This window comes from Homo sapiens, chromosome 4, assembly GCF_000001405.40.
Source record: "Homo sapiens chromosome 4, GRCh38.p14 Primary Assembly".
Classification (NCBI taxonomy): Eukaryota; Metazoa; Chordata; class Mammalia; order Primates; family Hominidae; genus Homo; species Homo sapiens.
Window position 1 is genome coordinate 7,310,753 of NC_000004.12, and position 14,194 is coordinate 7,324,946.

At 50.6% G+C, this 14,194-nt stretch overlaps 1 protein-coding gene and 1 pseudogene across 8 annotated transcripts in view, besides 1 other annotated feature; one reads left to right on the plus strand and one right to left on the minus strand.

Moving 5' to 3' along the window:
• SORCS2 (sortilin related VPS10 domain containing receptor 2) overlaps positions 1–14,194 on the plus strand; it is a 550,290-nt gene that overhangs the window by 118,215 nt on the left and 417,881 nt on the right. The window lies entirely within an intron of this gene.
• Positions 11,612–12,171: an enhancer, noted in NCBI's record as "H3K27ac-H3K4me1 hESC enhancer chr4:7324091-7324650 (GRCh37/hg19 assembly coordinates)". NCBI's record gives its function as "activates a minimal SCP1, AML or CMV promoter by ChIP-STARR-seq in primed H9 embryonic stem cells {active_cell/tissue: H9 hESC(primed)}" and the evidence as "EXISTENCE:reporter gene assay evidence [ECO:0000049][PMID:30033119]".
• On the minus strand, positions 13,359–13,430 carry TRSUP-TTA3-1 (tRNA suppressor (anticodon TTA) 3-1; annotated as a pseudogene).

Genomic DNA, 14,194 nt, shown 5'->3' on the forward strand with positions numbered 1-14,194 from the left:
GGCTGCGAAGATAGAATTGTATCAGCAAATCTTGGCCAATCTGCAAAGAGAAAGATGTGAATGAAACTGCTCCCATGAGTCAGTAATGCAGGTCAGCGTATTTCAGAGCAAAGCACTCACCATCAGCTAGAACAACATACCAGCTTTCTGCAGGGTTTCAAAAGAACAGTTTTATTGAGGTATAATAGAGATATAATAAATCACGCAGATTCAAAGTGCACGATGTGCTGAATTTTGACGTGTGTTTATTTCTCTTGAAACTTTAGCCACAATAGGTAGGGGCCACATACATTACCCCTAAAAGTCTCCTCTTGCCCCTTGATTATCTCTGTCTTCCCTCCCTCCTTGGCCTCCTCCCAGACACCCACTGTCTCCTTCCCGCCACTATAGATCAGTTGGCCTTTCCTAGAATTTCGTCTCTGCAGTATCCTCCTCCTTGTCTGGCCTCCTCTACTCAGCATCGCTGTTTTCAGATTCAGACATGTTGTCACATCAGTCAATCAATTGTTCGTTCCCTTTTATTCCATCCTTTCTACAGACCACAATTTGCTTATCCATTTGCTTGTTGATGGCTGTCTGGGATGTTTCTAGGCTTTGGCTATAACAAATGAAGCTGCTGCCAACACTCCTATACGAGCTTTCGTGGAGACACCTGTCTTCATTTCTCTCGGGTAAATATCTGGGAGTGGAATGGCTGAATCATCTCCGGGATATGTTTAGGTTTTTCAAAGACTGCCAGACTTACCCTTTTATATCTCCACCAGCAATGAATGGGAGTCTCAATTCCTCTGTGTCCTCGTGAAGACTTTAGAGTCGTGTTTTTAGTTTTAGTCCCCCAGTAGGTGTGGAGTGGATCTCATTACGGTTTTGGTTTGCATTTCCGTGATGATGAATGATGTCGAGCTTCTTTATGGGGGCTTATTTCCCATCCATGTATATTCTTTGGTGAAATGTCTATTAGAATCCTTTGTCATTTTAAAAGAGTTTGCTTTTGTCATGGTTATAGTGTTTCGAGAATTTTGTATACATGCAGGATATGCGTCCTTTATCATGTATGTGATTTGCAAATATTTTCTCCCAGTTTGTGGCTTGTCTTTTTCATTCTTTTTTTAGTTTATTTTTATTTTTATTATTTTTATTTTGAGACGGAGCCTCACTCTGTTGCCAGGCTGGAGTGGAGTGGCACAATCTCAGCTCACTGCAATTGGCGCCTCCTGGGTTCAAGTGATTCTCCTACCTCAGCCTCCCAAGTAGCTGGGATTACAGGCACGCACCACCACAGCCAGCTAATGTTTTGTATTTTTAGTAGAGATGGAGTTTCACCATGTTGGCCAGGATGGTCTCTATATCTTGACCCTGTGATCCGCCCACCTTGGCCTCCCAAAGTGCTGGGATTATAGGCATGAGCCACCGCACCCAGCCGTCTTTTTCATTCTCTTAACGGTGGCTGCTGAAGAGCGTAAGTACTTCATTTGGTGAAGTATAATTTATCAGTGTTTTTGTCTGTGCATTGTGCATTTGGTGTTATAGCTAAGAAAGCTTCTCACACTCAAGCACCGATCAACCCTCAGCTGGACCCTGAGAAGCTCCCACTCCGGTCTATTGATCTTGTCCTGGCTCTGCACCCAAGCTGGGATGCCCCTCATGGGTTTTGCTCGGATCAGGGCACAATGACCCCTCTGATGCCTCTGCCCATTTCTCCCTTGGCCCCCTTTCTGTTCTGTTTCTCATCCTGGCTCCCCCTTCTCTAGTACCTACCTGTCTCTGGTGTTAGCAAGGCCTGGAGCTTCTTTCTGGGTCTCTCAGTTTCTAGCCTGGGTCAGCATCCTCTGCCCTCCCTCCTATGTCAAGCTTGCCCTCTGTTCTGTGCTGTGAGTGTGGACATTTGTGGAGCCAGGCTATGCAGAAAGGGCTCCTGTCCATTACCTTGGGGTTACCCTGCTGTGTGCCAGGTACGTTGCAGAGTGCCCGGGGACAAGACGGAGCAAATGTCACGCCCCTGCTTACAGAGGAGCTCTGGCTTCCACTGCAGTTCAGGAGGAGGTCCCCAGCCCTCTGAGCTGGCTGCTCTGCAGGTCAGGGGCCTTTTCTTTGCAACAAGTGTGATATTGGGTGTCATGGGACTTCTAGACCAGCAGAAGGGCCTGGTGGATCTCCAGGGCTCCCTGCAGAGCTGCAGCTGGCTGAGCAGCGACTGTCCTGATAGCTGGCTCCAGGGGACCTGCTGATCTTCCAAGGCCTCGGGAACAGCATGTGTAGCTGGGCAGAGGCCTGCGAGGACTGGGGGTCCTCTAGGACCCCTGAGAGTCAGCCTGTGTATATGGATTCCCTGCTGTGCTCATGGCCCAGACTGTGGGAGTACAACATGGTTAATTTCACCCAAGCAAATGAGCTACCTCAATGATGGATTCCATTTCCGATGCATTCATTGTGCACCAACGTGTAGGAAAGCAATGGGAATACAAATATGATGGATTTAGCTAAACGTGCGCTGTGGGCATGATCTGGTTTGGATGCTCATGCATCATTCATTCAGTTGTTAGAAAATCATGGAGTGCCTCCTGAGTGCTGGGCTCTGGGGACACACAGCAGGGAAGGCGCAGTCCTCCTCCTAAAGCCCTCACCGTCTGGGGGAAGACAGGCCCAGAAGAGGGGAATGCAAATGTCAGGCTGCTCTCTGGGTTGCGCAAGAGAAGAACGAGAGGGTAAAGGGAGGAGGAGCGGACATGCTGGGGTGGTCACTGGAGCGGAGGTCGGGGAGAGGGTGTTCCAGGCACGGGGAGGAAGGAGGGGCTGAGCCCGGGGACAGACAGAAAGACCTCTTTGGGCCATGCCAGGGATTGTGGAAGGGCCATAGATGAAACTGGCCTGGACAATGTCTCTTTTCCAGAAACTTGCCTGGCCTTGTCTGTTTTGGATGGCCGCACTGCCGGCTTCACTGCCTCTCGCCTCCCCTTGTCTCTGGTCTGACAGTAATGCTGTCCCGGAAGGATGTGTTCAGAGACGGGCTGGATGATGTCACCCCCCTGCTCAGAACCCTCCAGCAGCTCCCCTGTGCTGTGAGATCAAATCCCAGCCTCTGTGACTTGGTCCATCCTGTTTTCAGGGGCCCTATCTCTTCTGTTCCCTTAGCCTGGGAGGCCCTGTCCCATTGAGGGCAGGAGTGGTGGCATCTTCATCTGCTGCAGACCCCAGAGCCCACCATGCCACAGGTGCTCAGAGTACAGGAGTGACATTCGGGGACATGCCTGTGTGGCAGCTGGGATTTTGTCCAGGAAACTTCCAGAAACTTTCCCAGAGGCTGGAGCCCCCAGATCCCCAACCCGTGGTGCTTCCAGCAGCACATCTGCTTCTCTTTTTTGCCTGGAGTCGGGATCCTCCCTGCCTCTGTGCCGTGCGGTGAGGGGGTGCCAGCTGCCAAGCCAAGTGGGGTCGGAGGAGAGGCTGGGCAGGGGCCTTGCTCTCAAGCTCCACTCCTCAGTGGCACACGGAGAACGAGGCAGCGGGATGCGACATGCAGGGCTCCGCATTCACAGGGACTCTCCCCAGAGTTCCTAAGAAAATCATGGCCTTTTTTTTATTTTTTTTATTTTTTTTTATTTTTTGAGACGGAGTCTTGCTCAGTTGCCCAGGCTGGAGTGCAGTGGCGTGATCTTGACTCCCTGCAAGCGTCGTCTCCTGGGTTCACGCCATTCTCCTACCTCAGCCTCCCGAGTAGCTGGGACTACAGGCGCCCGCCACCACGCCCGGCTACATTTTTGTATTTTTAGTGGAGATGGGGTTTCACCGTGTTAGCCAGGATGTTCTCCATCTCCTGACCTTGTGATCCACCTGCCTCTGCCTCCCAAAGTGTTGGGATTACAGGCGTGAGCCACCGCACCCGGCCAATCATGGACTTTCTTAATACATCTGGATTAATTGATTAATTGTTAAGAAATGTGAAGTGGAGAGCAAGGAGGGACCAGGTCTTGTCACTTGGCTTTGCTGTGACCACGGGTGTGAAGACCCAGGGCATAGCCGGGCTCCCAGGAGCCTGCCCACTGTTCTGTTTTTTTTTTTTTTTTTTTTTTTTTTTTTATTGTTGTTGTTGTTTTTGTTGTTGTTTTTGAGATGGAGTTGCCCAGGTTGGAGTGCAGTGGTGCAATCTTGACTCACTGCAACCTCTGCCTCCAGGGTTCAAGCGATTCTCCTGCCTCAGCCTCCCAAGTAGCTGGAATTACAGGTGCTCGCCACCATGCCCAGTTAATTTTTTGTATTTTTAGTAGAGACAGGGTTTCATTATATTGGCCAGGCTGGTCTCGAACTCCTGACCTTAGGCCATCCACCGACCTCGGCCTCCCAAAGTGCTGGGATTACAGGCATGAGCCACTGCACCTGGCCTTGTCCGCTGTTCTTCTTGTAGCTCTCCCCTCCACTGTGGAGAGCCCTGAGCTTCGAGTGAGCCTCCCCAGGCTCCAAACCAGCCTCTGCAGCCCCTGGTTGGGTGATGATGGCCAGGTGGGCCTCCCTCTTTGTGAAATATCAAGTCTGACCATGATCGGCTGGTCACAAGGTTCCTGAGATCATGGTGTCAGTACTTGGTGTGTAGTAGGTGCTCAATACATGCTCATTCTCATTTCCATTCTTGCCACTCACATTCTTGGCTCTGGCCAATGGCCAGGCAGCATGGCCTGAATCAATCCAGGCAATGAACACTGACTGGCTGTCTGCTCTGGGGCAGGCCAGGGCTGGTGCGGTGGAGGAGAGGGACACCACTGGTCCTGGACCTGGAGTAGCCCAGGGTCTGGGGAGACACAGACCAGGAACGTGAGGACTTTGCTGTGGTGCGCCACCTCTCTCCCACCCTGTGATTTGCTCATGTCCTCTTTCCTCCCAGGAGGATCCTCCCTGCCCCTCCTATGGTGATTTTTGCAAGGACAGCCCAAATGTCACCTCTTCCATGAAGCCTTCCTTTCTCCCTGTGAGGACTCTCTCACCTCTGAAGGTCCTTGGCTGCTTCTGCCATCTGCTCTGGTTACTTATGTCCATAGCTTCTCTCCCCAGTGACTAGCTGTGGGCTCCATGTCTCTACCTCTTTGTCTTCCCCAGCAGTGTGGGGGAGTGGGGGAGGAAGAGGGGAGAAGCCTGGTACACATCACCCAACCTACCATTTCTGCCTCCATCTGTCACCATCCATTCATCCACCCATCCATCCTATCTTCCTTCCATCTACCCATCTATTTATCCATCCATCCATCCATTCATATATTCATCTATCCTTTCTATCCACCCATTCATCCATCCAACCATCCAGCTAGCTTTCCTTCCTTCCATCCATCTGTGCATCTGTCCATCCATCTATCCATCCATCCTTTTTTCCTTCTATCTACCATCCATTTATCTATTCATCCATCCATTCATCCATCCATCTATCCCTCCTATTCACCCATTCATCCATCCACCCATCCAGCTAGCTTTCCTTCCATCCATCCATCCATCCATCCATCCATCCATCCATCCATGCATCCATTCGTGCATCCATCCTTCCATTCATGTATCCATCCAAACAAACAAAAAAAATTTTTTTGGACATCTCTCATATCCCAGACACTGTGCTGTGTGTCTGGGATATAGGAAGAAACACAGAAAGGATTTCATTCCATGAACTTCCATTGACAATCTTCTATATGCCAGTTTAGCCTCAGCCCAAGCACAAAATGTTTGGGACAAGTAAGTGGATACAAACTAAGGACTCAGCATGGTACCCAGTATGTGCTCTGCAAGAGTTGGCTCTCATGTCGTCATTATTACTGGCATCACGACCCTGGACAAGTTATCTGACCTTCCCGTGCCTTTACACAGATTAAATGTGATAACGAATTTAAAGTGCTTGGCTTAGAAAATGTTAACTCTTATTATTAGCTATTAAGGATGACAAGGGTGAATTATGGAAGAGTGCTGAAATGTTCTGTTCATAGTAGAAATAAATGGGGACTGGAAGGCTGAGTTCTTGTACAGTTCGCAGCCATTCTGAATGTGTTACCAAAAGCACTAGCCCACACTCCCCCGTGGAGGAATCATAGCTGGCTAGAGGCATGTTGCCACCTCCTGAGGAAGAAGTGAGACCCCAGGGGCTGGTGACCACTCTCAAGCTCCTGAGTTTTTGAGTGAAGGGATTTGAGTCTCTTGTGGCTTCTGGTTTTGTTACCAGAACCATCTCCCCTGACAGCAGACAGACTTCCACAAGTTCTGAATGCAAGCGCCCGGGGTCAGAAGGTTGCATGGAGACCCTGTTACTCTCTCCAAGCAGCCATAGAGTCAGAGACTGTTGGGACACCAGAATAAAGCTTCAAGGTCCCCAGTGTCCAGAAGCGTCAATGTGTGCAGATCAAGAGCTTGCTCAGTCAACATTAATAAATGGCCATGGTGTGCCTGGTGTAGTGTTGAAGGATGGGAACCCTACAGTGACAAAGCTGCCGGTGACTATAGTGATCATACAGAGTGCTGGGGGCTATGGGAACCCAGATGAGGCACCTAGCCTGGGGGCATGGAGGGGGCTGTTAAACCAAGACCCAAAAGATGAATAAGGAGCTGACAGGGCCTGGGCCTATGTGTAAGGCTGGATGAGCCCTCAAGGGTACCTCTGCGTCAACGGAGGCATCCTCAGTGCAGACATGGGTCTTGTTCCATGCCTGGCACAGTGATTGGTGCGATGTTCCAGGCATGTCCAATCTGGGCCCCCTCTGGGCGGGCCTGCCACCGCCCTGTGCTTTTTGCTCCTGAGCCCAGGTGGCCACTTCTTCCTCCTCTATCACAGCCCCCGCCTCCCTCCAAGGAGCCCTTCCTCTTCCCCATGGGCCTGCGGCACCTCTGGCTCAGTCTGCCTTCCTGTCCCACTGGAGGAATCAATGTTTCTTCACCTCTGTTTTCCAGGGCTGAGGCTTAGGACTTGGGGGCCTAAGCCTCCCTTTGTCTTAAACCAGCTGTGAGGCAGTGACATGTGAATTTCACCCATATCACTTCCAGGCTCCCAGAAGTACCATCTGAAGGTGAGAAGGGGCTTCCGACAGTCACAGGCCACCTCCACCATTCAGCTGATTCTACAAATGTACAGAAACCCGAGAACCCGGTGAGGGCCACAGGAAGGCCCATTGAACGCTGAGCAGGCGCCCCTGCCCCCGGAATTTAAATGTTGAAGTCCGAACCCCTAGCACTTCAGAATGTGACAGAAACTTCCAGCAAACGTCTGGAGGCAGGAACCACGAGCACGTGTTCATACAACTGTCCAGCCTGTTTGATGTGAAGGACGCAGGGCAGACAGTCGCGTATCGTGCAAGGTGATACAGCAGCAGACATAACTGGAACCTCATTATTGAGTACCTACTATGTGCCACACTTTGGCGGCCATTTTGCATATATACTTGGTTTGGTCCTCTTGTGATCCTGTTGGTAGGTATCTGTACTTTACAGACAGGGAAACCAAGGCTCAGGGAGGTAAGTCCCTGAAGATTATCCAGCTAAGAGGTGGCAGAGCTAGGTGCTGCACCCTGGTCACCTGGTCCCGAGGTGCTAGTGCTCAAATGTGGTTCTAGCTGGGCAGGGCTGTTGGTGTGCCACTCCTTGCAAGGCGAATGCACCATACTGGATGCCAGATACTTGATAGGGAACCCCATCCTGCCCTCAGGGGCCCACAGACCTCACATTGCAAACCCTAGGGCCTGGTGTCATTTTATCCAGAGCACACACTGGGAGTCAGACACACCTGAGCAAACCTGGCTCTTCCACTTGCCTGTGCAACTCACTTTAACTCTTCGTGCCCAGTTTTGATGGTAAAATGTCTATCGCATCTATGCCTATGTTGGGAGAAAGATTAAACGAGCTAAGCCATTAGTTCAGTAACTGGTGCATGGCTAGTACTGTCTCAATCATCGCAGCTACTCAGCTGTTACCCACACAGCCCCTTATCCACAGCCTGACCATTCTTTTTTCCCTTCCAGGTTTATTGAGGTTGAATTTCCATACCAGAAAATGTGCCGTTTTAGGTGTACAGTACTATGAATTTTGACAAACTTATATAATCATATCAATACCATCACCATCAAGATATAGAATAATTTTATCACTCCCCAGAATCCCTTGCGTGCCTTAGTAGCCAGTCTTCTCCTGCCATCTTAATCTCTGACAACTACCGATCTGGTTTTGGTCTGTATAGTTTTGCCTTTTCCAGGACGCCAGGTAAGTGGAATCACATAGCATAGAGCCTTTTGGGTCTGGCATCTTCCACTTAGCATAATGCATTTGCAATTCATCCATGTTGTAGTGTGGGTCAGTAGTTTGTTCTTTTTTACTGAGGAGCAGTATTCCATTGTATGAATAAACCACAGTTTGTATTTTCATATTCAGCATTTAGGCTGTTTCCAGTTTTTGGTGATTATAAATGAGGTGTATTTTTTTTTAACATGTCTTGTAATTTTTGGTTGATTGTTGGACATTGTGTATAGAAGAGCTATAAATAATATTATGCCTGGAAATGGGCCGGCTTCCTCTTTCATCAGGCTCTGAGTGTGGCAAGTTCAGTCCTTCTAATCATGAATCGAGCTGGGTTTGGCTTTTGTTGCCTAAGGAACAAATTGGACCCTCCGACTTGTCTCGTCTGACTTACATGGCATTTTCCATCACATAAAAGCATGAGGCTGGGCATGGTGGCTCACACCTGTAATCCTAGCACTTGGGGAGGCCAAGGTGGGAAAATTGCTTGAGACCAGGAGTTTGAGACCAGTCTGGACAACATAGTGAGATCCTATCTCTACATTAAAAAAAGACAAAAAACAAAAAACTTAGGCATAGTGGTGCATGCTTGTGGTCCTAGCTACTCTGGAGGCTGAGGCAGGAGGATCCCTTGAGTCCAGAAGATTGAGGCTGCAGTGAACTATGATCATGCCACTGTACTCCAGTCTGGGCAACAAAGTAAGACCCCACCTCTAAAAAAACAAAAAACACATGACATTTAACCTAAAATCTGGAATGGCTTCTTTAAAAATATAGAAGTTTTGCTGTCACTGGTGGTTCTGTGTTACACATGTTAGCAGTTGGCTTTTATGGACAAGTGGCTGCCCACCTTGGCCGGGGCCTGTACTCTGCTTTTCTGCAGGCTCCTCTAATCCTTAATGATTCCCCCCACCCTGCCTCTTTCTTTTATGTTATTTTCCTTGTTCTTACAGATGGTTGAGTTGGTGGTGTGGAGATCCTGAATGATATTCAGTGTACTCTTTTTTAAAAAGACAGGAAGGGCCAGGCATGGTGGCCCATGCCTGTAATCCCAGCACTTTGGGAGGCCGAGGAGGGTGTATCCCTTGAGACAAGGAGTTCAACACCAGCCTGGGCAAAATAGCAAGACTTTGTCTCTACAAAAAAAATGAAAATAAGATTTTAAAAAGATACGGAAATATATGCATCACTTAAAAATATATTTCTACCTCAATGGTTAGAATTAAACTGATAATCAAAAAAATCAAACGCTGGGGAACACTACTTTTCATAAAAGTAAGCTCAGAGAAAGGCTTGCTTTTCTAGATAGTGTGAATAGCATAGGTGATTGTGTGCCTTCTACCATCCAGAGATGTGGTTTTAATGATGGACAATGGATCCCCACAGAGGAGAAGGCATTGTACTGATGTCTAGAAAGGATGAACATAGAAGAGGCCAGGTTTTCTTACATCCACCTGGAGAGTGATATTACCTGCTGGGAAGATTCACATTTGACATTTTACTTTGAGGACACAGCTTTCTGAGTCTGTTGCCAGATGGCTGGTGTGACAGCTGATGTCTGCCAGACGGCTGCAGGTGGGGGTTTAGAAACACAAACACAGCCACACGTCTGGATGGAGGCTGTTTCCCAGTGGAAGGCAGGGCCCCGTGACTCTTTGATGAGGTTGGCCAGAGTCATTCTGTACACCTTGGAGGTGGGGCCCTTCCTGTCACTCTCAGTTGTCCATGGAAGGCTGGGGAAAGGTCAAGGGTGAGATGGAAAGCGTGATTGGAGAGCCAGGATGCTCCTACTCCTTTGTCATTCACACTCGCTCAGTTCATGCATTCACTTAAAGAAGGTGATGGGACCCACCCTCCCTTCCTCCATTCCTCCCTTCCTCCCTTCCCCTCCCCTCCCTCCCTCCCTTCCTTCTTTCCTCTTTCTCCTTTCTTTTTCCTTATATATATAAAATTTCAATAGCTTTTGGGGGTATAAGTGGTTTTTGGTTACATGGATGAATTGTATAGTGGGGAAGTCTGAGATTTTATCAGCACCCCTCACCTGAGCAGTGGACATTGTATCCAATATGTAATTTTTTATCCCTCAAGCCCGTCACTCCTGTCTCCCTCCTGAGTCTTTAATGTCCATGATACTCCTGTGCGTGCCTTTGCCTACCCATAGCTTAGCTCCCATTTATAAGTGAGAACATAGAGTATTTGGTTTTCTGTTCCTAAGTTACTTCACTTAGAATAATGGCCTCAGGCTCCATCCAAGTTGCTGCAAAATACACAATTTTATTCCTTTTTATGGCTGAGTAGTATTCCATGGTGTATGTATACCATATTTTCTTTATTCACTCATTGGTTGATGGGCACTTAGGGTGGTTAGAAAACCTTAAGACTCCACCAAAAGACTCCTAGATTTGATAAATGAATTCAGTGAAGTCTCAGGTTATAAAACCAGTGTCCACAAATCAGTAGCACTGCTCTACACCAACAATGCCCAGGCTGAGAATCAAATCAAGAACTCAATCCCGGGACTCTTTCTGGCACTGGGAAGACACCGGTGGATGAAAGAAGATGCCTGCTCTCATGCAGCTGACATCTCACAGGGGGGCGGACAGTACCAAAGGAGACAGGCCAGAGAACAAGAGAATTCTGAGTGGGCACAAGACCAGGTGGGCTCCAGGCCTAAAGAGGGCTGGGCTGGGTGAGGAGGGTGATGGGCATGTGCTTTTGGATGGCGTGGTTGAGCCCCCTGGGGGAAGAACATTGTGGGCAGGGGACAGCTGGGGCATATCTCTGAGGTGGGAATGTGCTTTGTGGATTCAAGTGCCCCGTGAGGGGGCATGGAATGAGCCAGGGCCTGAGGATAGTTCCCACCCTCTGGGGCCCTGAGGGCTGGAAAGGTGTTCGATTTTACTTTACCTGCAAGGGGCAGCCATGGGGGAGTTGGCGTGGCTTGGTGTGCATTTAGCCCGGGTGGCTGTATTGACCGTGTTCCTTCCATAGCAGCTGGGGCTGGTTGACTTGGTCCTAGTGAGGCTCCTCCAAGAAACAGGCTTTTTCCTCCTGAGCCATGAGGCTCGTAGAGGGCCTCTGCCATCAGACAGGTGGGGTTTATAGCAGGCTGTCCGACGGTGTGCTCATTAGACCAGATGCTGCTTGACCAGAGGGGGCCGGGATGTGGGCCAAGCCCCACCCCCACATGGCCAGGGCCTGGAGACCCAGTGCTTGTCCTAGGGGCAGGGATGAAGTGGGTGCCCAGGCCTGAGAGTGGGAGCAGAGGGGGCGGTGAGGATGAAGGAGGAGCCTCGTGGTGGCCATGCCCCCTCTGTCCTGGGCCCTGGCATGCAGCTGCTGTCTCTGGACACAATGTGCTCCCTCTATCTGCCTCCTGGCCCAGCCCAGCTGCACTTGCTGAGCCTGCTCTCACTTTCCCGGGGCCTCATGCACTGGGGCCTAAGGTGTACCGCGTCCCGCTGCACGGGAAGGCCAGAGTTGGCCTCATCTCCGCTCTACCAGGGGCCTGGCAGGGCTGGCAAAGTAGATGGTGCCCAGGGGGTTCACTGGGTGAATACTGTTGATTGACTCACACAGAACAGAAGTCGGAAATGCAGGAGGAGGGGCGCAGACACCCTGAGAGGCCGGGACAGCCCAACCCCCTTGTCCAGCCGCTCAAGAGTCTCAGCCCCTAAGCCGTCCCTGGGCTGCACACACTCCGTGGACTACAAGCTTGGCAAAGAGATTTCCTTCTCGGGAGAGTTTGTGCTTTGGATTCAAATGGGGGAGGACCTATTCTGACTTTCAAATGAGGTGCTGAGAGGAGGGGCTGAAATTCCAGTGCCCTCTGCAGAGATGATTGGGGCCTCAAGAGCACTGACCAGCTGCGGCTCCTCAGCCCCTGCCTGCCTAGAGCCTGCCTCCCCACCCCCATCCAGACTGTTTCAGTTTCTGCTGAAATCTACTAGGGCCTTGAGGACGGCCCTGCCCGTTTTTTATCTTTTTCTGTATTCCAGTAGCTCTAGTTCCCAGTTCTGCCCTCAATGGGTGTTATCACACATAGGAAATGCCTTTATGAACTGTGCATTATTACATAAGTATCACTCAGCAATGGGGTCAAATATTATTTATGTATTAATAACCGCCAGTTTTGCAAATGGCCTTAGGTAGCTTACTTGTGTACTTACACTTCACTAAGATAACAAATAGTTGAGGGAATTAGCACAAAGAGCACATAATGATAGCAAAAGAACAAAACTGAATGTAAGATGAGGAGCATCCTAGCAGCCAAAGTGAAAAGGAGAACTGGATTGGTTACAGTAGTCCTGCGACCCAGAGATAAAGCAAGTTGGTTTCCCAGGAGAATCATGGCTTTCTGTGGATGCTGGGATCGAGTGAAATACAGCCCACGGGCCTCCTTAGTGGCTGGTGTAAAACTGCACAGTAATGCCCTGCTGGCCTAAGGAACCAAGAGGTAGACCTTGATCCTGAGGAGACCACGTTCAGACTCCCACACCCATGGCTCTGAGGGGGGTCAGAGCACCAGGAGGGCTGGGAGGATGTGGGGAGGCTCCTAGGAGGTAGCACCTGTGCCCTTGCCTACTCAGTCTGTGGGGGTTGAGGGCTGGGTTCCCACTCAGGAATCCCTTCAGTCACAGGCAGGCCCACTGCCACGTGGCTAGGGGTAGAGGGTGGCGTTCAGAGTCAGCCCCATCTTTCCCTGTCCCTCCTGGGGTCAGGTCCTGGTTTGCCACTATCACTCTACCCTGGATTCTCCCCATTTCCCAGTTTCCCCTCCACCCCCGAGAAATGGGAACAGAACCCCCATCTCCCAGGAATCCTGGGAGGGAGAACTTATTCCAAGCCCCTGGAGAGCTGGGCACGTCATTCCAGCTTCAGTTATTTGAAGGACTGCACTCTTGACACTGGTATACACCACACATCTCATGGGAGGGGACGGGGACTAACATTTGCAGAGACCCCACTGTATACCACATGGGCTACCTGGGTCCTAGGATCTGAGGCCCACACCATCCTTACGCGATGGGTCTCTCACAGGGATCTCCTGTTTCCCAGCCAGGGTCTTGCAGGCTTGGGGAGGAGGGTGCCCAGATCCCACAACCAGCAGGTGGCGGGGCTGGGATTCAAACCCAGGCAGTCTGGCTCTAAAGCCTATTCCCTTTCCACTAAGCCAGGCTGCCTCGGCAGCCTCCCTGACGAGATGGCTTTGGGTTTTGCTCTGCTTGTTCTCCCACCTGGGTGTCTTGCAATGGTGGCCTATCACGTAGCTGGTGGTGAGGCAGGTGGCTGCAGGGAGCTGAGACAGGGCTGCAGTTGGAGGAGGAATTTGGAGTGCCAGAGCCTCTTGGGGTGGATGCACAGGACTCCTAAATGCTGCCCACCTGGAATCTAACAGGTGCCCCTGCAGCTCCAACTGGGCAACAGGCCGGGGAAGGGACCGTCTGCCGGCGTCACCATCTCCGCCCAGCCCAGCTGTCATGAGAGGATGTGGGAACTGCGCGGGGTTAGTCCTTGACAGGTGGGACTGTGATTCACCCCTGCCGTGCTCACTCTCCCGGCACACTTTAATTACAGTGAAAAGCAGGGGAGAGACTGGTCCTGTGGCTCCTGGGCTTGTCCTAGCTGGCTGCAGCCTGGGCCACCAGGCCAGGCGATGGGCTTTTTGCCAGGAGACCTCCTCCACCCTGCAAAAAACAAAACAAAACAAAAAACTCCACCTTGAGTCCCATGTGCTTTTAAAAGCAGACGGAAAGTGTGGGTGTGAGGTGGGGAAGCCAGGGGTGAAAAAGACACAAAACCCATCACGTGTAAGTGGAGGTGCAAGAGCTGTCATTTTCCTTTCAAACCGAGGGCGGTTTTGTCACTTCCCCAGTCGATGCTGCTGGTGGCAGCGTGGGGTGCTGGTTGAGCCCACAGAAGCTGGCGGCAGCTCCTGGATTTGACT